Source organism: Homo sapiens, chromosome 17 (genome assembly GCF_000001405.40).
Source record: "Homo sapiens chromosome 17, GRCh38.p14 Primary Assembly".
Taxonomy (NCBI): domain Eukaryota; kingdom Metazoa; phylum Chordata; class Mammalia; order Primates; family Hominidae; genus Homo; species Homo sapiens.
The window spans coordinates 39,799,621-39,822,658 of NC_000017.11; the positions used below are offsets into that span (position 1 = coordinate 39,799,621).

Below are 23,038 nucleotides of genomic sequence, written 5' to 3' on the forward strand. Positions count from 1 at the left end.
CAGAATTTGCATTTTAACAAGATCCTCAAGGATTCTTATGCACATTAAAGTCTGAGAAGCACAGCAGCAACATGACTAATCACAGTTCTTCAAGCCTCTTCTCCAGCCTTTCCCACACCTAAAATATCCTTCTACCATTTCAATAGTGTATTCAAACTTCCACATGCAGTTTAAATGCCACTTCTTCCATGAAGTCTTCCTTGATACCCTTAACTAGAAAAAAAATTATGTTTCTTTGTTCTCATACATCCGTCTTATTCTGCTTTATATTTAGTATGATATAATTACATTGCTACAGATCCGCTTTTATGTAGTTGATGTGTTCATAAAATGTTTCATGCAAAACCAATAACACTGTCCCGCTGATTAACATTCTACATTCAGAAATGTTTATTTTGCCCTGATTTCAGTTGTCAGTGACTGGCAACACCCGTTCATTTAATAAAGGCAGAAAATCTTAAAGACCTGGCAACAAATACTTGAATATATTTGGGGAACTGCCTGATAGTATCCTGAAGTCTTTTGTAAAGTGAATAAACCTTTTATAGTATGAATAATCTCATGTTTTGGTTTTGTAAATTCTAATCTTCTTATAATATATATCAGGTTTCTTAGACATACATCTTAAGTTGACACTTAGAAGACTATCAAGAAGCCTCATAGACACTGGTGAAAGTTTATTTCTTAAGTCAGGTGGTGGGTGTATGGATGTTTTCTTATTATTCTTTAATCTATACATGTAATTATACTTGCCTTTTTGTACATATGATCTATTTTATAATAAAAAAAGTTAAAGGCTTCCTGAATACCTTTTTTATAACTGAACTTGTGGAGAAAAGAATATACCAAACCACAAATTGCTGATAAAGGTAATTGCTATACATTCCCAGAGGCAGGGAAAAGATGTCTAAATTGAATCTAACCCATAGGAAATTAGATTAAACTAAACTTTCTAAAGGAGCTACTCTAGGGTACAATTGCTCCCATCTTTGTCTATGTTTTCAGGCCTCTTAGGAAGATGACACACACGAACACACACACACACCCCAGAGAGAATTTTGTAGGCTGAAGAGAACAAAGGTTTGGCTCACTGGGGCTGATGCACATGGTTTCATTTCCTGGGGTGATGGTTATCACATGAAAGGCTTGTACTCCAGAGCAGACATTTTTGGTTTCACCTGAGACACTGCAAAAACAATGGGTCCTGGAAAGGATCCAACATCTAAATCCTTCAGGGGCAATAGCAGTCTCAGCCAACTGTGCCTCAGTTTGTTTTTACAGGCACATAAAATGCTCAGTTGGAGAGAAGAACCTATCAAAGATGGCAAACAGAATAGACAACTTGGGTATCTTGGAGAGCATGTTGATACTAGGAATTTCCCAGTGGAAAAAAGAGATTCTGAATTTCCACCTTAAACTATGAGATCTCAGAATCCAACTCTACGAAGGACAAAGTTGGAAGTAATATCCTCAGGTCTGCCGGAGATATTGTGAGAAGGGACAAAACAAGATAGAGGCTGTTAGGGAAGGCACAAAAGGGTGATGTTATTTAAGTGTTTTACAAGGATCGGGGGTCATAACCATGAAATCTTCAGCAAATGCAAAAGTCAACTGGATAACAAAGAAGCTTAATCATCTTAATGTGGCATTTTAATGATGCCACTGATTTGCTATGCCAATTCAGAGATAATGAGGCCCTAATGCTACAGATGTTCAGCCAGGCTAAAAGAAAGGGGGTGGGGGGGGGCTTTTCTAGCACGCCATTTTCTAACTATCCAATTAAACAAATTGTGAAAGCATCTAAATAGTTTACCAGGTTTTGACAGCTGTTAATAGGATTTAGAAGCTTGAAGCACTAAAGAGCAAAATGGGAAATATATGTATTGTAGGTATTCAGTCTACAAAGTTTGTTACTGTCGCCCAATCTAGCACAAACAGATGAACTAGAACAGTTTTCCTTATAAAATTAATGTCTATACTTCTCTCCCACAATGACCTCTTTGTATTAGGAAGAAGAACACTGAAACGATGGGTCATTTTCATTTTCTAATTTACATTTTTGCATGTAAAGTAATGAGAGAGAGAAACCGATGATATTTTTAGAACTAAAGAGTAAGGAAAGTTTTAATATTTGCTAACCAGTAAAATTATAAAGCTTCAATGCAAACTAAACTTTTGGTCATTGATTTATAAAATCTATTATGTTTTCTTTTTTTCTCTTTTAAAATTTAAAATAATGGACGTCTGTTAATTTTGAAAATGCCTATTTTTAAATTAGGAAAAAACTGGAAAAGGTAAATCAGGCTAACAAGAGATGAAATACTGGCAGGGCGCAGTGGTTCACGCCTGTAATCCCAGCACTTTGGGAGGCTGAGGCAGGCGGATCACGAGATCAGGAGATCAAGACCATCAAGACATGGTGAAACCCTGTCTCTACTAAAAATATAAAAAATTAGCCGGGCATGGTGACGGGCACCTGTAGTCCCAGCTACTCGGGAGGCTGAGGCAGGAGAATGCTGTGAACCCGGGAGGCGGAGCTTGCAGTGAGCCAAGATCGCACCACTGCACTCCAGCCTGGGTGACAGAGTGAGACTCCATCTCAAAAAAAAAAAAAAAAAAAAAAAAAGAGAGATGAAATACTGATATCTCAATACAGGTTTGGATAAAATTCTATAGATTTAAGTTCTCATTGAAATACATTTTTGGCCAGGTGCAATAGCTTACATCTGTAACTCCAGCACTTCAGGAGGCAGAGGTGGGAGGATCGCTTGGGCCCAGAAGTTTGAGACCAGCCTAGGCAACAAAGTAAGACCCTGTCTCTACAAAAAATCAAAAAATTAGCCGGATGTGGTAGTGTGTGCCTGTTGTCCCAGCTACATAGGAGGCTAAGGCAGGAGATTCCCTTGAACTCAGGAGGTCAAGGCTGCAGTGAGCTGTGTTCATGCCATTGCACTCTAGCCTGGGAGACAGAGCGAGACCCTGTCTCAAAAAAAAAAAAAAGAAAAAAAATTAAAGTCATGAGAAAATAGCCAGGTATGGTAGAATACCTGGGAATAGCTGGGAATACAGCATGCCTGTAGTCCCAACTACTCAAGAGGCTGAGAAGGGAGGATCACCTGAGCCTGGAGAGGTCCAGGCTGCAGTGAGCTGTGATCATGCCACTGTACTCCAGCCAGCCTGGGCAACAGAATGAGACCTGTCTCAAAAAAAAAAAAAAAAAAGAATCTAAACTGGCCATCAGTAAATCACATCACTTCAAACACAAGAGCATTAGCATGTAAAAAGTTTCATTTGCAAAGGAACTACCCTCAATTTTACTAATAACATTAATTTTTGCCTTATCTGACTATCAAATAGCTCATTCATGGGCATAATAATAAAAATAATTTTGCTTAATAATTTCAGTGCAATTCTTTGCTTCCCCATTAGAAGAAGAGGAGATTTACTACTTTTACAACAGAAATACACTATACATCAGCAGTAGGTAAGGTTCCAGCTGCTCAGCTGGGCTAAGCTCTTCAAATGTCATGGGGCCAGGTATAATTCTTTATCTAGAATTGTGAGGACTGAAGGCCATGATGTATGAAAGGTCTTTCTAAACTATAAAGAGTCTACAAGTATATTGTTTCATTTCTGCCCATTATAACAATTACTTTTTCTATTGATTATTTTCATCTATGTATTAAACTCTTTTGTATTTATATTTTTGAGAAATAACTGCTACCCATCAAAAAACAATGGATGAAATACATTTAAAGAGGCTGAAGTTTTAGATGTTGCCTAAACAAGCATAGACTAAAGTAGTTACCTGGTAGAAACTTCATTTGTAAATCCGAAAGAAAAAAAACTTCCTTTTTCATTCAAAATTCCCTTGCATAGAATATTCACTCTATCTTTTTTTTTTTTTTTTGAGACAGAGTTTCGCTCTTGTTGCCCAGGCTGGAGTGCAATGGCGCGATCTCGGCTCACAGCAACCTCCACCTCCCGGGTTCAAGCCATTCTCCTGCCTCAGCCTCCGGAGTAGCTGGGATTACAGGCATGTACCACCATGCCCTGCTAATTTTGCATTTTTAGTAGAGGCAGGGTTTCTCCATGTTGGTCAGGCTGGTCTCGAACTCTGGACCTCAGATGATCCGCCCACCTCGGCCTCCCAAAGTGCTAGGATTACAGGCGTGAGCCACCGCGCCCAGCCACTCTATCTTTTTTAAAAACAGGAATGAAAAAGTTTAAAGCATGTTAAAATACAATTCTTAGTAAAATTCAAAAACTGTCATCCAAATACAATTGGCTAAAAAACATTCTGACTGTCACAATACCAAACTCAGGGTCACAGGTAAAGGAAGGAATGAAAAAGTCTTCTATATCCAGAGCATAAGTAGTTCTTGGTGTATATAGCATGTTTTGTGTTATATCACAATTAGTGTATTTATCTCCCATATAGACTAGGAGTATTTTCAAGGTGGGGACCAGGTTTAAATAATATTTGTGTCCCCAGAACCTAACAAGGGCCTCGTTACTTTAGAAATTGAATGAATGGGCCGGGTGTGGTGGCTCATGCCTGTAATCCCAACACTCCAGCACTTTGGGAGGCCAAGGCGGGCAGATTATTTGAGGCCAGCAGTTCGAGACCAGCCTGGCTGACATGGTGAATCCCTGTCTCTACTAAAAATACAAAACATTAGCTGGGCATAGTGGCACGCGCCTGTAATCCCAGCTACTCAGGAGGCTGAGGCAAGAGAATCGCTTGAACCCAGGAGGCAGAGGTTGCAGTGAGCCAAGATAGCTCCACTGCACTCCAGCCTGGGTGAGAGCGAGACTCTGTCTCAAAAAAAAAAAAAAAAGAAATTGAATGAATGAATGAATGAACTTCTTGGGCAGCCTGAACCAATTTAGTGATGATAACTAGGCCAGGCAGAGAAGAAGTAGTAGATCACAATAGACCCCTAACTTGTCTACAAGATTCTGATGCTGTCATGCAGTATGTAGTTTCTCTTAATGCATCAGAATAAGGTCCATGGCCCACAGTGATAGCCAGTCATCTAGTTGACTTCTTTGCCCATTGTGGTCTGGCTTCTGCCCTTCCTGCTCCACCATTTTGCAATAGGATGCCACTGGCCAGTCCCTGCTTTTTAAATCTCTTTCCTTGGCTTATTCTTTGCTGGTCCTACTCCTACCTCACTTATTTACTTATATCCTCTGTTTATTCCTCTTTCTCTATCTCCTAGATGTGAATTATTTCCTAGGGCCTATTTCTTGAAACTTTTGCCTTTTCACTTTACATACTCTGTCTCCTGATCCAAGTTTTTATTGCTGTTGACTCTCAAATTTTTATTTCCGGTAGACCTGGAAAGCCATAGACATATACTTCCTGACATGTACAATCACTTCCTGAATTTCCAACACTTATCTCACACTCAACAAGTTGCAAACAAGCTCCTTATCTCTCCCATTTCTTCTCCGCTTTTCCTATAATATTCCCCGTTGTCCTCTCTACATAGTGGCTGTTTGATGTCAACGTCTGTATATTATGCTGCTTCTATCAACATTTAGCACTGATACAGAGCTCAGTGACTACTTACCAAACAAACAAGGAAGTAAGGAAGGAAAGAAGATAAGAAGGAGGAAAGGAAAGCGTGAACAACTATACTATTATTTGCTTCAAGTACAAAATTAGGGTTGACAGTGTTTTTAAAAATTGTACAGATTGCAATTTTGCCTAAAGCTAGCATATTAGCCGAAGACAGAGGGAAAAAATAAATTGTTATTTCTAACTCAAGGTATAACAATCAGACCCAAAGCGTATAAAGGATTCTTGGATGAGAAGGAAATGAGTATAAGGATTAAGAATTAGAAGACTCTTGTTCTTTTTAGCATTACATTAAAATACAAAATAAAAATTAACATTTACCATCTGTAACATATTATTTAGACTTTTACCCATCTCTGGTTCTTCCCTTCCTTCTTCCCTGGTTCTCAAATAATGGAATTAGAGCACTGAGAAATAATAGAAGAAACTCAGCACTGACTTCTCCTGGGTGAATGTACAACATTAAAAGCACACAAGGGAATGAGCTATCTTGTCACTGGAACATGTTCATCCCTGGGGATAAAGTGTAACAACTGCTTAACAGCTGCCCAGTAACATACTTCAAGGCTGCAAGCAAAGATGCATCCTAGCTCTACTGGAAACTGCAGAGGGAATATTGTCTGGCAGAATAAAACTAGAATAGAATCTGGCCAACAAACTGCAATCTATGTCCTTTCTATTTCAAACAGCAGCTTCTAATGATCACAGAGAGGTTTCTACTAACAATATTCAAGTAATATTGGATGGGTATTGGTAATTACAGGGAAGGAACAATATGGTATTTAACTTATTTTTTTCCACTGAAAATAGAGTTGAATGACTTCTTTTTTTTTAAGTTTCTGATAAAAGAGCATGGGCTTTGGAGTAAGACAGAACCCAGGTTCAAGTTGTACTAACTAGCTGTGTGACCTCAGCAAGTAATTTGACTTCCGTGAATTTTCTCATTTGTGTTGCAGTAATGATAATATCTATACCTAATAGGGCTGTTACAGTAATGAAATTAAGCAAAATAATGTATATATAGGCGTAGCATAGTAGCTGGCACATAATATGTTCATGACCTTGAGACAGGCAAAGATTTCTTAGATACAGCACTGAAAACATGATTCATAAATGAAAATATCCTGCAACTCAGTAAGACAAATAATCCAATTTTAAAATGCACGAAAGTAGTCTTTAGCTTTTCTAAGGTAATAAATAAAATTTTTAAAACGCACAAAAGATGTGAATTAACATTTCACCAGGAAATTATATGAATGGACAACAGACCAATGAAAAGATGCTCATCATCCTCAGTCATTAGAGAAGTGTGAATTAAAACCATAATGAGATTCCACTTCACACCTGCTAGAATGGCTACTATAAAAAAGACACAATAAAGAGCGCTGGCAAGGATGTGAAGAAAATGGAACCCTCATCCGTTGCTGGTGGGAGTGTAAAATGATACAGTCATTTTGGAAAACAGTTTGGCAGTATGGTGGGCAGCCTTCTAAAACGGCTCCTAGCATTCACACCCTTGTGTAATATTCCCCTCCAGTGTGGGCTGGACCTAGGTGATTGCTTCTAATGAAAAAAACATGGAAAAGTGATGGAAGGTGTCTCTTCTGTGTTTAGGTTATAAAAGACTGTGACTTCCATCTCTCTCTCTCTTTCTCTCTGTGGTGTTTCTTGCAAGCTTCTCAGATGAAGTAAGCTGGAGAGCAAGGAGCTGAAGGCAGTGTCTGGCCAACCTCCAGTGAAGAAACGAGGCCTTCAGTCTAACAGCCTTCAGGAACTGAATCCTGACAACAACCACATGAGTGAGCTTGGAAACTGATCCTTCCCTAGTCAAGTCTTTAGATGAGACCACAGTTCAGGTCAGTATCTTGTTAGCAGCCTTGGGAGAGACTGAAGCAGAGGACCCAGATATGCTGTGCCTGTATTCCTGAGATAATATGTTTTAAGTTGCTAGGGTTTGGGGTCATTTGTCACACAGCAATCAATAACTAATATAGGGGTAGTTTCTTATAAAATTAAACATAAATTTACCATACAAGCCAACAATTCTAGGTATCTGCTCAAAAGCAGTGATAACCTATGTCCACATAAAGACTTGTACATAAATGTTCATAGAAGCTAAAAAATGCAAACAATTGAATGTCCACCAAACAGTGAATTGATAATCAAAATGTACTATATAAATACAATGATATTCTTTTTTTTTTTTTTTTTGACAGAGTCTCACTGTCACCCAGGCTGGAGTGCAGCGGCATGATCATGGCTCACTAGGCAGCCTCGACCTCCTAGGCTCAAGCAATCCTCCCACCTCAGTCTCCTGAGTAGCTGGGACTATTTAAATTTTTTTTTTTTTTTTTTTTTTTTTGTAGAGACGGGGCCTCTATATGTTTCCAGCTACTCGGGCGGCTGAGGTGGGAGGATCACTTGAGCCCAGGAGTTTGAGACCAGCCTAGGCAACACAGTGAGATCCCATCTCAAAAATTTTAAGAAAAAAGAAATAAAAGAAACAAACTACTGATACATGCAGCAACATAGATGAACTTCAAAAACATTATGCTAAGTAAAAGAAGCCAGAAACAAAATATTACATATGGTATTATTCCATTTATATGAAATACCCAGAAACAGTAAATCTTTAGAGACAGAAATAATTAGTGGTTGCCTGAGGCTGCAGGCAAGAATGGGGATCAACTACAAACAAGTACAAAGGGTTTTTTAGGGTGATGGAAATGTTCTAAAACATGGTGGTAGTTGTACAGCTCTGTAAATTTACTAGAAAAGTCATTGAATTGAACATTTAAAGTATGTAAATTATAACCACATTAAAGCTGTTTTAAAAAGAAATCTATACAGATAAACAAAACAAAATAAAATTGATAGCTCTGATACTGACTCTGATACTGACTCTGTCTCAAAATGGGAATGTTTAGCTACCCATTCACCAATGATTACAAGAAGCATCATGGTAAGTATAGTTTCTGAGCTATGATTACTTCCATATGACAAATGCTCAGAAGACTATTTTTAACTCCTTTTGTTCCTGTACAACTGATTTCATTCCCTTTCAACAAAATTAACAAGAATTAGCTTGTTGAAAAACACAAGGGCACCCGCTACTTGACAGTAGGAAAGGAAGGTTAAAAAATCAAGTATAAAAGAGTTGGCCTGATTGGACATTTCCCATACTTAGTTATTTTATTATCGATTTCAGACAAATACCTAACTACTGATTTTTGCTCTTTCTAAATTGGGCTAAAATTCATAAGGATCCAGATACATAAGGATATATTACTTCTTTGTTATATTTTGTGCTTTTATGGACCATACTGTCTCACTTTCTGTTCTGTTAATAATTTAGTGTGTTTTACTAGGCTGTGGTTATTAATTAGTTAATGAGCACTATCTCTGGACTGCAAAGCAGCAGTGATATAAATGCACCTGGGGAAGTTCACTGAGGGTTCATTCAGGAATGTGAGTTCTCTCGTAAGACAAAATAAGAAAATAAAGAATTATCTTTTCTTTACAGTCTGAGAGAGAGAGAGAACTAGTACAACCTGAAGGACTAGAACCGGAAAATCAAGCTGATGGTAAGTAAGGAATAGGTCATATAAAAATGCAAGAGAGAGTTCTGGGCTCCAAGTAATGAAAAGAGTAATAATGGACCATTAAGTAGTGTTTGTTCAAATGTCGGTGGATGGGAGGTATGACCACAGCCTAGGCTGACTTAACAGAAGTTAACAAAGAGCCTTTCCTATTTTCTCAAGGGCTGCTATGAAATTACTTAAGGAGTAAGAAAGGATAACAAAGGCCCTGGCTGAGATTTTTGCTTCTGTAGACGCAGGTGCAGAAAAGGCTGGTTCTAACACATCTTGTCAATGTCTTTAATGCCACCAGACTGATGAATATAGTGAAATATCTATCGTGATCCCATTTTTACTTATTCAGTTGACATAATTAGCAAATCTATTAAGGGTAAGGTCACAAATTATTTTTAGTTATTAAACCATAGGTCTCCATATGTTACTGTTTAGACAGTATCACCCAGTGCAGAATGTAGTTTTCAAGACTGTCATTCCTGCAACCTCAAATCTAGATCCAAATGCAGTCAGTTAAAGCAGATTTCAACCAGGCAGCTAAACGAGAAAACATCTGGACCTACCAGTCAAAATGAGAAAGGTCACATGTTAAACCCAGATAATCTTGTTTATTGGTGTTTGAAGGTTATACACCAAGGGCTGGATTACCAGGGTGCTCCTTTAGGCCTGGCTCTGACATCTTCATTCACCTGCTGTGTGTGTGACGCTTTAAAATCCAAAGCTTTGAAAGTACTGTGTTATTAGTCACTTCCAAATGTAATTTTCCTAATTCTAAGCCTGAATACTATGTCAACCTATTGCTAGACTGCTGATTAGATCCTGGAAGAAACCGCAAGACACAACTGTCAGGGGCAGATGATGTCTATTCTTTTAAAAACTGTTTTCCACATTTCCATTCAGCATTTTTCTATGGATGAAGCACCTGTAATTTTCTCCATCAAAATTAAGAAAAGAAAAGGCCTCTGAATAAGCAAGGAATAAAATTAAAAGATTGACATAGATTTCAGGATGATGATGAAGAAAGGGAGATTGAATCTTTCATTATTTTTCATAATTAGTATTATTTTATATACAAACAACTGAACCAAAATTGTTTATGTTGGAAGCAATTCCACATGCCAGTGCATATGAAACTATTATGAAAACAGCAAAGTCAAGTTTCTTAAGACTTTACATGCTTTGGTCAGATCTTTTTAATCTTTTTTAGGTTGTGAACATCTTTGAGAACTGTACTCTTTGCCCAGAAAAAGGTACACATGCCCATAAACACGAAATTTCACATACTATTGATTGATTTCTCAAACCCTGAGATCTCAGGTTGAGAATCTCTGCCTCAGGCCTTTAAATAGGCTCAGGCTTAAAGACACCTCTGTGTTATATTTTGTAAACTTCATATAATAGTGGTTGGCATTTTTCAAATTTTTTGCTCAAGCATCCTCAAAAGAATTTTGAAAAATTATATATCTCTCTTATACATAGTGGACATTAAGTACATACTAAGTTGACATCTATAATTTTTCATCATGAGTTTAACTATTTTTAAACAAAAGAATACAGTTTGTGTATTGTAAATAATGATAGTTTAAACCATTACCACACCCTTTCAAATGTATCTACTTAGGAATATATACATATTTGTGATTTAATTTACTCCATCATGAATTTAAAAATACATAAGTAAGCTTTTCAAGAAAGTCAGGAAATTTCTCTTTGAACTTCTATTTCCATTTCACTACCCCCATGGAATTTTCTCCTAATGTAGTACTCTTGTATGCTTGAGTCATCTATTGTTCATCCCATTATATGTATCTGCAGCAAAAAAAAAAAAAAAAACCCAATAAAATATAGTTACTTTTGTTAACATGAAGTGCTATGTGTCAAAATGTGTTTTCTTCTGGATTGAATTAGCATTACAATTATTAACATACAATTGAGTAAAACAATATAGGTATATTATAATTTGATCAATAATTACCAAATACAAAAAGTAAAATTTATTGGGACTGTATCTCCTAATGAGAAGGATAGAGAGGAAATAAGTTATGAAAATTTGATAAAAGAAATTATCTAATTGATCCTTTGTTTGGCATCTTGGAAGTACTTACACCTTAGAGGTGGGTGAGAAATGTTCTTTTCTTTTATAAAGTGGAGAAGGAAGGCTGGGCATGGTGGCTTATGCCTGTAATCTCAGCAATTTGGGAGACCAAGGCGAGAAGATCACTTGAGTCTAGGAGTTCAAGACCAGCCTGGGCAACACAGTGAGACCCCTCTACAAAAAGTTAAAAAATTAGCAGGGCATGGTGGTGGGTGCCTGTAGACCTAGTTACTCAGGAGGTTGAGGTGGAAGTATTGCTTGAGCCCACGAGGTCAAGGCTACAGTGAACTGTGATTACACCACTGCACTCCAGCCTGGACAGCAGAGCAAGACCCTGTCTGAAAGAAAGAAAGAAAGAGAGGGAGAGAAAGAAAAAGAGGGAGAAAGGGAGGAAATAAAAAAAGAGAAAGAGAAAGAGAGAAGGAAAGAAAGAAAGAAAGAAAGAAAGGGAAAGAAAGACAGAAAGGGAAAGAAAGAAGGAAGGAAGGAAGGAAGAAAGGACGGAAGGAAGAAAGGAAGGAAGAAAAGGAAGGAAGGAAAGGAAGGAAGGAAGAAAGAAAGAAAGGAAGAAAGAAAAGAAAAAGCAAGCAAGCTCAATGGCAGCAGTCTTCTAGGCAGATCAGTTTTAGGAAGAAGGGCAGAGAATATACTGAAGTTGCGGACCTGGAAATTGATTCTCTTAAAATTATCCCATGCAATCCTTGGAAAGTTTTCCCAGCATTTCAAGAACACTACTAAAATAAAAGACCCCAATGCCAAAATGTACTCACATGCTGTTCTTCACTTTAGTTAATGAACCAATAATTATTTAGTGAGCACTTGTGAACACTGCAGGGGATAAATGGATGAATGGATGGTTGGATGGAAAGGCAGAAAGAAAAATGGATAAACACTGAGCATTTACTATATTCCCAGAACTTTGGCACAAAAGAACACAACTATAAAAGACTGTTCTTGCCATGTCTTTGGGACACAATCAAGTACAATAACACCCTGCCACAATACAATGTGTACAAATTTGGATGTAAAAGGATTGCTGATTGCCTCCAGTTGTCTACCCTTGCCCACTTCTCAGACAAGAGCAAGCTAAAGTTCTTATGGGAATGGATAGGAAGTAATTGCTTCAAGATCATTTGGGTCTTTTAAGGTTTACAATTGTGTCCAGTTTAAACTTCACTGTCATTGCTTTGTGCTTTTTGTAACAGTATATTAAAAACAAAACAAAACACAAAACCACCTACTATATTTCATTTACTTGCAATAATATGACCCCCATATTTTACAAGATAAAATTTCGGGATCCCATCTACTATGTTGTGGAGAGAGCTCATGTACTCTTCTTGTCTCCGACACTATTCTCTTTCATGCAAACTACAACACAAAAACAAAAACAAAACAGAACACCCAAAACCCAAAATCCCTTTGGGCTGACAAATTACAAAAAATTTGATAGTTCTGATGAGCCAGGACAGGATTTTGTTCAGTCTTCAGTCCAGTGGTGTTCTGGTAATTGCTTAACAACCAGCTCAGGATCGGGGAAGGGCTTATTTGTGGCATTTGCTGATTTCAGTGGTATAAATACTCCACCATGGCCAATTTCAAGCTACCATCATGGAGTCAGCCAGCATACAAAATTGTTGAAAATTTAACAAGCAGCTATGAGCTGATTCTGGCACACCACTGGGACTCCTCATTTATCCCTCAGCAGGGTACCTTCCTCTAGCTATCAAATGGCACCAAGGTACACAATGGCTCGGGTCACCGTGCCTGGTGCCAAAGTTTATTTGAGAAGCAGAACTCACTTGGCAAGAAAAGCTGCTATGAAAGTTAGCAGGCACATAAGGGTGTTTCATGCGTTCTCTTAATCCAGCTGGAAGGAGGCACCAACACTACTGCTTAACAGACAAAGAATGCAAAAAGAGGCAGGGCGAAGTGGCTCACGCCTGTAATCCCAGAACTTTGGGAGGCCGAGGTGGGCAAATCACGAGGTCAGGAGATCAAGACCATCTTGGCTAACACGGTGAAACCCCGTGTCTACTAAAAATACAAAAATAAAATTAGCCGGGTGTGGTGGCGGGCGCCTGTAGTCCCAGCTACTTTAGAGGCTGAGGTGGAAGAATGGCGTGAACCCGGGAGGTGGAGCTTGCAGGGAGCCCAGTTCGCACCACTGCACTCCAGCCTGGGCGACAGGGCAAGACTCCATCTCAAAAAATAAATAAATAAATAAATAAATAAATAAATAAAAAGAATGCAAAAAGAAGGGAGAAAACTCTCCAGAGGATCCACTAAGGACAGTGGGCAGCCCCATTTTTCTGTTAACCATTGCAACTGTCTGTGGCTCTTTGGCAGATGTCAAATATCTTCCTACACATTCCTTTTAGTTTGCTGTGCTACGCAGCTTAGTTATGAAAAAAAAAAAAAAGAAGAAAAGAAAATCCAGAGATGTTTTCTGTTAAAAAGTTTCAAGGGCCAGGCACAGTGGCTCACACCTGTAATCCCAGCACTTTGGGAAGCCAAGGCAGGAGGATTGATTGAGTCCAAAAGTTTGAGACTAGCCTGGGCAACATAGCGAGACCCCGTATCTACAGAAAAAAAAAAATTAGCCATGCATGGTGGCATGCAACTGTAGTCACAGCTACTCTGGAGTCTCGGGTGGGAGGATCACTTGAGCCTGGGAGGTTGGGGCTGCAGTGAGCCGAGATCGTGCCACTGCACTCCAGCCTGGGTGACAGCGTGATTAAAAAAAAAAAAAGATTCAGGGAGAGATGTCTTGGTTTTATCATCAACAGAACTTACCCGTTTGACACAGTACAAGCTGTAAAGCTCTGCCCATGGTAAGCACTTACAGAAATCCCCTGTGAGTGAACTTCTGCAGCACAGCACTGCTGATTTTGTAAGATAACCCCTGCATCCCATGAGTGACAGGTCTTGATCTGGGCTTGAGAGATGTAATATTTTGATAAAAAACGGCACTTCCTTTTGAAGCATATATTTGCGTGTACTAAGCAGTACCGCGGGAGCCTCAGCGAGTGCCTAAGCGAGGCTGACGCGGTCTCTCCCAGCTCGCTCCAGCCACCCTTCTTCACACATCTAAATGTGGCGGTAATTAGCATCCATAAACCACACATGTGGCTTAATTTTTTTTCCCCTTTCAGAAGCATCAAAGTAGTTTGTACTTCTTCTAAGCACCAAAGAGTTGTACACCTCAAAAGGGACCGAGACTATGCCATGGGAAGCTACTGAAGATGGGAGTTATTTCTCCTAAGGGGAAGAAGAATTATTTTTTTCAGCAAGCTTTCTAATTAAAGTTCTTATCTTTGATCTAAGCATCTACACTGCACAAGATGTCACAATGGAGAAAATATAAGGCCTTTCAAAAGTGATCAAATTCAACTTTTCTCTTGGAATCAGGCAAGACCCATAGCTTGTACAGAATGGAAGTAATTAAATACATACACCGATTGATCACCACTGCACAATTAATTAAAAAAGAAATCTATTTCATGATGGGTATTGGGTCTATTTGATATTTAGTTACAGAGCCAGGAGATGAAGGGTGTACTGTGTTGAATAGTGTCCCTCCTAAATTCATGTCCTCCTGGAACCTCAGAATGTGACTTTATTTGGAAATATCGTCATAGTAGATGTAATTAGTTAAGATGAGGTCACACTGGATTAGGGTAGGCCCTAAATCCAATGACTAGTCTCCCTAGAGGAGGACAGAAACAGGAGATGCCCACAGAGATGAAGCCCACGTGACAATGGAGGCAGAGATTAGAGTTATGCTGCCATGACCAAGGAACACCAGGCATTGCTGGAAGTCACCAGAAGCCAGAAAGAGGCAAAAAAGAACTCTTCCCTAGGCCCTTCCCATGGTCCTGCTGACATCTTAATTTTGAACTTCTACCCTCCAGAATAGTAAAAAATTTCTGTTGCTTTGTGACAAACTGGTGTTTTGTCACCCAGTTTGTGGTAATTTATTATGGAAGCCCTGGAAAACTAAGACAGAGGGTAAATGTGCAACTCAGGCAGGGTAAACAGCTAGTGTTGATGGGTATCGAGGTATCGTGTGTACTTTTTACCCCTACAGCAGCTCCAGAACAAATGGCTTGTGTAAATAGAGATAGTGGATGATGGGGGCTGCTGAAAAATAGGGGGCCAGTAGAGTGTTAAATACAGGGGGTCAGTAGCCCAACTTTTATTCCTCAGCTATTCAAAGAGGAAAAAATACTATCGGCAAATGCATCATACCCTCATAACATATACATGCTCATGACAGAACCTTTCCTTCTATTTTCTAAGTGGGAAATGGCAAAGACGGGAATCCAATTTCAGAGGAAGAAGGACTGAAACAAAAAGTCGCAAGAGTTCTATTTCAGTCGTTCAGGCCTTAAGGCCATGTCTTTTCCACTAATTTAAGCACCTAATTACATTCTCTCTGAAATTGTTTGTGCATGACAATTGCCTTGCTGGGATGACATTCCACCATCTCGAGTCTTATCTCTACCTAGTTAATATCCCTCAGTACACTAGCATGAAACACATCTTCCCTCTAGCCTTGATACTCAGAGGTTTTTATTTTTTAGTTGCTCTGTGATCATAGGCCAAGATATAAGCAACAATAATATTCTTTCTCATGATATTTTATAAAATTGTTTTAACTCTTGCTTTTGACATCACAGTATCTTGCTGACATTTTAGATCCAAGTAGAAGGTCCCAAATCTTTTGTATTCAGTAAAGTGGCTGTGATATTCCCAGCACTCATTGGATGCTAAACAAAAATAAAGACTTGGGGATCTCTGGGTTATTTCCTATGGCTCAAGATCAGTCTGAAGATAGTTACAGTTGGTCACTAAGAGGAAGAGAAATAATAATTGTTCATAAGAGTGAATGAGCAGGCTAGAAAAAGAACTCTGAATTTCTTCATTTCTTCTGCTTTCCAAACTGGTTGGATTATATCACTTCATAGGTAAGTATTCTTAGAAAGATGTAAATATAGGTTAGGGCTTCTTTTTTCAAAAAGTTTATGATATAATGGGGTGAAACCTTGTCATGCACAAACAATTTCGAACAGAATATAATTACGTGTTTAAATAAGTACTAACTAAACATACTCTTAAAAATTCAGCTCTGAGACCACACTGTGGAAGGTGGGATAGTATAAAAAGGCCTCCTGGAGGAAATAAACTTGAGTTGATGTAAATATTTGCCAGTGCTTGTTAGATTTAAATTTTCAGGAATAAAGGAGAAAACCAACTAAATGGTAACACAACATTTAGTCTACATATGGTTTTATTTATGTCTAATTAATTTATGTAAATAGAGCTATATCAACTATACATGCATGTGATAAAAAGCTGTTAGTGATATATATTTTTCTGATTTTTAAAATAATAGTATTAGAATCCTCACTGATGCCCTTTTGAAATGGTTACACAAACACTGTTCCTTTCAAGTGCCAAATCTTTTCTTAACTCATCATACAATAAATGTATACACTAGGTTAGGAGTAAGGGAATTATGGCCTGCAGGTCAAATCCAACCCACTGCCTATTTTTGTAAATAAAGTTTTATTGGTACAAAGCCACTCACATTCATTTATGTATCTTCTACAGTTGTCTTACCTTGCAATGGCAGAGTTGAGAAGATGCAACAGAGATTGTATAGCCCACAAAGCCTAAGATATTTACTATCTGGTCCTTTACAGAAAAAGTTTGCCAATACCTGCACTAGGCTCCTGGGAATATACTGTAAAAAATTACCACAATGTCTGTGGGATCACAAGCAAGCGTATTTATGTTCAAAGTTAATACTTTTGTTTGTTTTGTTTTTGTTTTTTTGAGACAGAGTCTCACTCCGTCGCCCAGGCTTGAGCACGATCTCAGCTCATTGCTGGAACCTCTGCCTCCCAGGCTCAGAAGATTCTCCCACCTCAGCCTCCCGAGTAGCTGGGATTACAGGCATGCGCCACCACGCCCAGCTAATTTTTGTATTTTTAGTAGAGACGGGGTTTCACCATGTTGGCCAGGCTGGCCTTGAACTCCTAACCTCAGGCGATCTGCCTGCCTGGGCCTCCCAAAGTGCTGGGATTACAGGCCTGAGCCACCATGCCTGGCCAATATTAATAGTTTTTTAAAGTTTTTTCCAAGTATTTTTGTTTTGTTTTCCAAACTTACTCTAGTTGGGTAAAGCCTTTTCCCCTAGAAATTAGTCTGTCTTTCCGCAAGAGAAAAAATAAAGTGAGTGTTTCCATCAGGGTGTGAAATTTTCTACAAAACAATTTTCTAAGAACTGGAAGCTTATAAAGATGCACACGATATTTCATTTTTTAACATATACATTAAACATGATTGCAATTATTCTGAATTTTAAACACTCCAGACAAGTCTTTGGTTCCTAAAATCTTTCAAATGACATTAAAAAATAAATGCTGCCATTAAACTTAAACAGAATAGAATTCTCTAACATTTTAAAATAATTATTACATTGTAGCTAAATTCCCCTAATTACCTTTAAAAGTATAATTCTAATTCTAGTCTTCTTTTTTTATAGATGGAGTCTTGCTATATTGCCCAGGCTGGAGTGCACTGGCTATTCATAGGTGTAATCATGATGCACAACAGCTTCAAACGCCTGGGCTCAAGTGATCCTCCTGCCTCAGCCTCTTGAGTAGCTGGGACTACAGTCTTGTGTCACAGTACCGGGCCTAACTCTAGTCTTAAATGTTTTCCTGTGCTGCATATGGCAGTGGTACCTTATTATGCAGTAGGTATAACTTCTATCGGGCAATGCTGTTTTTACATTCTATTACTTTTATAATTTAGCATGTATAATTTATACATACTGATCATATTATATATTTTATAAAAGCAGGGTCCTGGTAACCACCTTTTCCAAACATATATGACCCAGATTAAGTGCCAGTGTTAATAGTACAGTAGAGTAGTCCCCCCTTATTCACAGAGGATACTTTCCAAGACCTCCAGCGGATGTCTGAAATTGCAGATGGTACCAAACCCTATATACAGTCACATGCTCCTTAATGATGGGATGCATTCTAAGCAGTGGATCATCAGGTGATTTCATCATTATGCAAACATTATAGAGCACACTGTATTTATACAAACCTAGACAGTATGGCCTACTACAAACCTCGGGTATATGGTACAGCCTATTGCTCTTAGACTGTACAGCATGTTATGGGTACAGCATGTTACTGTACTGAATACTGTAGGCAACTGTAACACAATGGTAAGTATTTGTATATCTAAACTTAGAAAAGATACAGTAAAAATAGGTCTTAACTTATGAGACCACCACTGTTTTTGCAGTTCATCATTGACCCAAACATTATGTGGTATATGACTGAATACTACGTTTTTTCCTATACATACATACCTATGATAAAGTTTTAATTTATAAATCTGGCATAGTAAGAAATTAGTAACAATAACAATAAAATAGAACAATTACAACACTATACTATAATAAAAGGTACATAATTGTTGACTCTCTCTCAAAATATTTTATTGTACTGAACTCACCTATTTTGGGATCATGGTTGACCATGGAACTGAAACTGCAGAAAGTGAAACCGCAGAGAAGGGGGACTACTATAATCTGTTTGCAGATTAATCACAAAATAATGGAATGATCTTTCAACGTTAAAATTAGCCTACTCAGGCCAGGAGTGGTGTAATCCTAGCACTTCGGGAGGCTGAGGTGGGCAGATCACTTGAGGTCAGGAGTTTGAGACCAGTCTGGCCATCTAGTAGAGATGGTAAAACCCCGTCTCTCCTAAAAATATAAAAATTAGCCAGGCATGATGGCACATGCCTGTAGTCCCAGCTACTCAGGAGGCTGAGGCACGAGAATCACTTGAAATTAGGAGGCGGAGTTTGCAGTGAGCTGAGCTCGCACCACCGCACTCCAGCCTGGGCAACAGAGCAACAACAAAAACAAAACAACAACAAAATTAGCGTATTCATTTCTTTCTGAATGAAGCTTAAAGTAAATAACTGTTTCTTTTCTCTTTCCCAAATTATTTAGAGTGATTGATCATATCTTCTCTATCAAGAACTGCATGACACTCCTAGACCCCTAGCAACTGAGAAAAATAATTTATTTACACAAACATCCTATTAACCCATTGACATGTAGTTGGAGGTAAGGCGATACTATTGTATGGGTTCCTAACAAGGTGCTTCACCACTTGGGTTTTTACAATATTTATTTTAAATTCCTATTGTTGAATGGAAATTATTGGTTTCTTGTTTATGTTTGAGTATTTAATCTGTTTTTTTTACCACAAACTATCTGAAAATATAAAACTCATAGGCTACCCCTGAACCCAAAGTAAATTTATAACATAAATTATAAATTCCCAAACCAACAGTGGCATAGGGATCACTATTTCAACTACAAATTTAATGGTATTACCTACCAGAACTCAGAAACTGTAACTCAGAAAAAAAACAAGCCACAGGCACAGCTATCATTTGCCTCATTCTGAGTGAGACTCCATGGATGTCACCTTCAAGAAGTTGCACGAAGCTGATACAACATCATATGCCTTTCCTCAGCACAAATGACCACATCCTGTGCCAGGCAGCATTTTTCTGTCTCTGTGGTTAAAAACTGGTACAAATTAATGTATAGCTCAGTACAGCTGGAATGTTAGTTGAAGCTGTGATTTGAATCTCAGAAGTTTTAGACAAATAACTCAATTTCTTGGTCTCTTAAGAAATTTAAGACAAAAGAAAAAGACTCTGAGAAATGATTTTCTTTTCTTGAAAAGGAGTCTCACTCTATTGTCCAGGCTGGAGTGCAGTGGTGCAATCTTGGCTCACTGCAACCTCTGCCTCCTGGGCTCAAGTGATCCTCCCACCTCAGCCTCCCAAGTAGCTGGGACTACAGGCACACACAAAGCTAATTAAAAAAAAATTTTTTTTTTGTAGAGATGGGGTTTTACCATGTTGCCCAGGCTGGTCTCGAACTCCTGACCTCCAGAAAAATCCGCCCACCTTGGCCTCTCAAAGTATTGGGATTACAGGCGTGAGCCAAGCCACTGCACCCAGCCTATTTTCTTTTCTTCCTTTAAGAAACTCATGTATACACACATATAACTGACCTAGGGCTTTCATTTAGTCACTTACTCAACAAATATTTATTGCACACCTACCACAGTAGGGCCAGGTACTGTTCTAGGTACTGTAAATATCTAGCAAGGAAAAAAATAGCCCAAGAAGGCTGGAAGGAGAGTAGACACTAAACAAAACTCCAAAGTTATCTGTGTTCAGTGTCATGCGATGAATTAAAACAGGGCTGTGTTAAAATAGTGACTGAATTGTCAGGAAAAGCTTTTCTGAAGAAATGACATTTAAGATGAGATCTGAGTAACAGAGTAACATTCATAAAGCAAAAGTGATTAGATTTATCAACATAAATATCACTATAAAATGTGAGCAATATTAATGTGAATATAATGCTCAAAACTCACAAAAAAGCCTGGAAGTAAGTACTCTGTAATGCTATTAGAGACTATCTTTGGGTGGTAGGATAGAGGTGGGGTTTTCTTTTTTCTTTCTATTTCAATGAACTTTCCAAACTGTGGTATAATACAAAAACATATTTGGTCTTTGTTCCTGCTCCCAGGATCAAGCACAGAACTTCTAAGCCCTTGGAATTTCCTAAGTGATAGGAGTATTGTTTTGCTTTGTTTTGTTTTGTTTTGTTTTTCTCACTAGATCCTCCTGCCTCAGCTTCTAAGTAGCAGGGGCAGGAGTGTCTTTTGTATTCATAACGAGCCCCTTTCAATAGCACCTTAGATTATGCTAACGAGGTAGCTGAGGCTGGGGCCACTAGACAGCCTCAGGATGGAGCTGTTCACCAGAAGGACCTGGTAATTAGAGCGTTGGACCTTTCAGCCCCACCCAGTGACCTCAGGGAAGAAGAGAGAGGAAAGGGAGCTGGAGATTGAGTCCTATAAACGTTCTTGAACAACAAGATTCAGAGAGCTTCAGGAGCTGGGGGTGTGGCATGCCCAGAGAAAGTATGGAAGCTCCACGTCACCCCTTCCTTGCTCTATGCCTCCCTTCCATTTGGCTGTTCCTGAGTTGTATCTTTTATAATAAACTGGTAATGATAAGTAAAGAAACTTTTTGAGCTCTGTGGGTCATTCCAGAAAATTACTAAACCTGAGGAAGGATGTGGGAACACTCAAATTTGCCCAAGTTGGAAGAAGTGTGGGTCACCTGAGGGCCTGGTACTTGAGACTGGTGTCTGAAGTAGGGGCGGTCTGTGGGACTGAGCCCTTAACCTGTGTGGTCTGTACTAATTCTCAGAGTTAGTATCAGAATTGAATTGAATTGTTGGACACCCAACAACGGAATGGCCTAGAGATTTGGTTGTGGATGGAAAACACCCCAGAATTGGAGTGGGATTTGCTAGATCAGCCCAGGCTCACAGAAACATATGGTTTGGAAGGATAAAATAAAAGGGTAGGGGATGAGGAAATTTTGATTCCTGAGTGGCCATATAGTCACCTAAGGAGCAGCAAAGGGGCTGTGATCAGTTACTAAAGGTAAAAGTTACCAGTGAAATTTAAAGATGAACCCAACTCCTGGGGAGCTGGTTCACTGAATGCTTAAGGAAATGCAAACTAATAAGAAAAAAGTGAAATACACAATCCAATGGTTATTGTTATCTGCAACAGCTAAAATGAAAGTTAAAAAGAGTGTTGGGTTGGACCTTGATGCTGAACCACGCTCAGATTCTGGTGGGCCTGAACTTCGGATGCTAGACCCAAAGCTGCCTCTAATGGAAAAAATATGTGGGAAAAACAGAAAATACCTCTAAGATCTCTGGTCACCAAAAAGAGAGTCCAGGTAGGGGAGGGCAAAACCAAGAAACTACTGAAACCAGGGGGTATAGTGTGAAAGAGTTACTTTATTTTGTAGATCAGTACCATCAGCTTCCTAAAGAATTTTGACTAAAATGAATTGTAAGAATAAATAATTTAGGGGCAGTATCTTGGCTTTTAAATGCTTCAGAGTGGAAGAGCATGTTTGGGTTTATATAGGATCCACAGCTCACTATGGAACAATCACAGATGGCTACACATGATCCAGACACAGAGCAGGTCATTCCTAAGGGAACAGCTGACCTGGTGGACCAGATAAGAGCCATTATAAGGTCTATTTACCCTGAGAAAGGGAACTATCTGACTTCCCCTTTCAATGCCAACTGGAATACCCCAGATGAAGCAGCTGATATGCTTCATATGCAAGCCATGTGGAACTGGCTTTGTGATAATCAAGATTCACACATTGAATATGCCCATTACCCAGGTGATATGGTTTGGCTGTGTCCCCACCCAAATCTCATCTTGAATTGTAAGCCCCATAATCCCATGTCATAGGAGGGACCCAGTGGGAGGTAAATGAATCATGGAGGTGGTTTCCCCCATGCTGTTCTCGTGACAGTGAGTGAGTTCTCACAAGATCTGATGGTTTAATGAGTATCCGATATTTCCCCTCTGGCACTCACTCTCTCTTCTGCCACCCTGTGAAGAGGTACTTTCTGCCATGATTGTAAGTTTCCTGAGGCCTCCCCAGCCATGCAGAACTGTGAGTCAATTAAACTTCTTTTCTTCTTTATAAATTACCCAGTCTTGGGTATTTCTTTCTTTTTTTTTTTTTTTTTTGAGATGGAGTCTTGCTCTGTTGCCCAGCCTGGAGTGCAGTGGCGCGATCTTGGCTCAC

The 23,038-nt window shown here is 38.9% G+C and overlaps 1 protein-coding gene across 16 annotated transcripts in view, besides 1 other annotated feature; it reads right to left on the bottom strand.

The window, feature by feature from the left end:
- IKZF3 (IKAROS family zinc finger 3) overlaps positions 1 to 23,038 on the bottom strand; it is a 106,598-nt gene that overhangs the window by 41,906 nt on the left and 41,654 nt on the right. The window contains exon 1 of one of the 16 annotated variants that reach the window (XM_047435625.1): positions 19,720 to 19,888. The exons of the other annotated variants lie outside the window; for them this stretch is intronic. Coding sequence (XP_047291581.1) covers positions 19,720 to 19,783 — 64 coding nt within the window. The 5' untranslated portion in view covers positions 19,784 to 19,888. Of the gene's footprint in view, positions 1 to 19,719; positions 19,889 to 23,038 lie in introns of those variants that run through there. 16 annotated transcript variants of the gene reach the window in all.
- Positions 1,142 to 1,342: a silencer, noted in NCBI's record as "peak2840 fragment used in MPRA reporter construct". NCBI's record gives its function as "represses an SCP1 promoter by STARR-seq MPRAs in K562 erythroleukemia cells {active_cell/tissue: K562}" and the evidence as "EXISTENCE:reporter gene assay evidence [ECO:0000049][PMID:32103011]".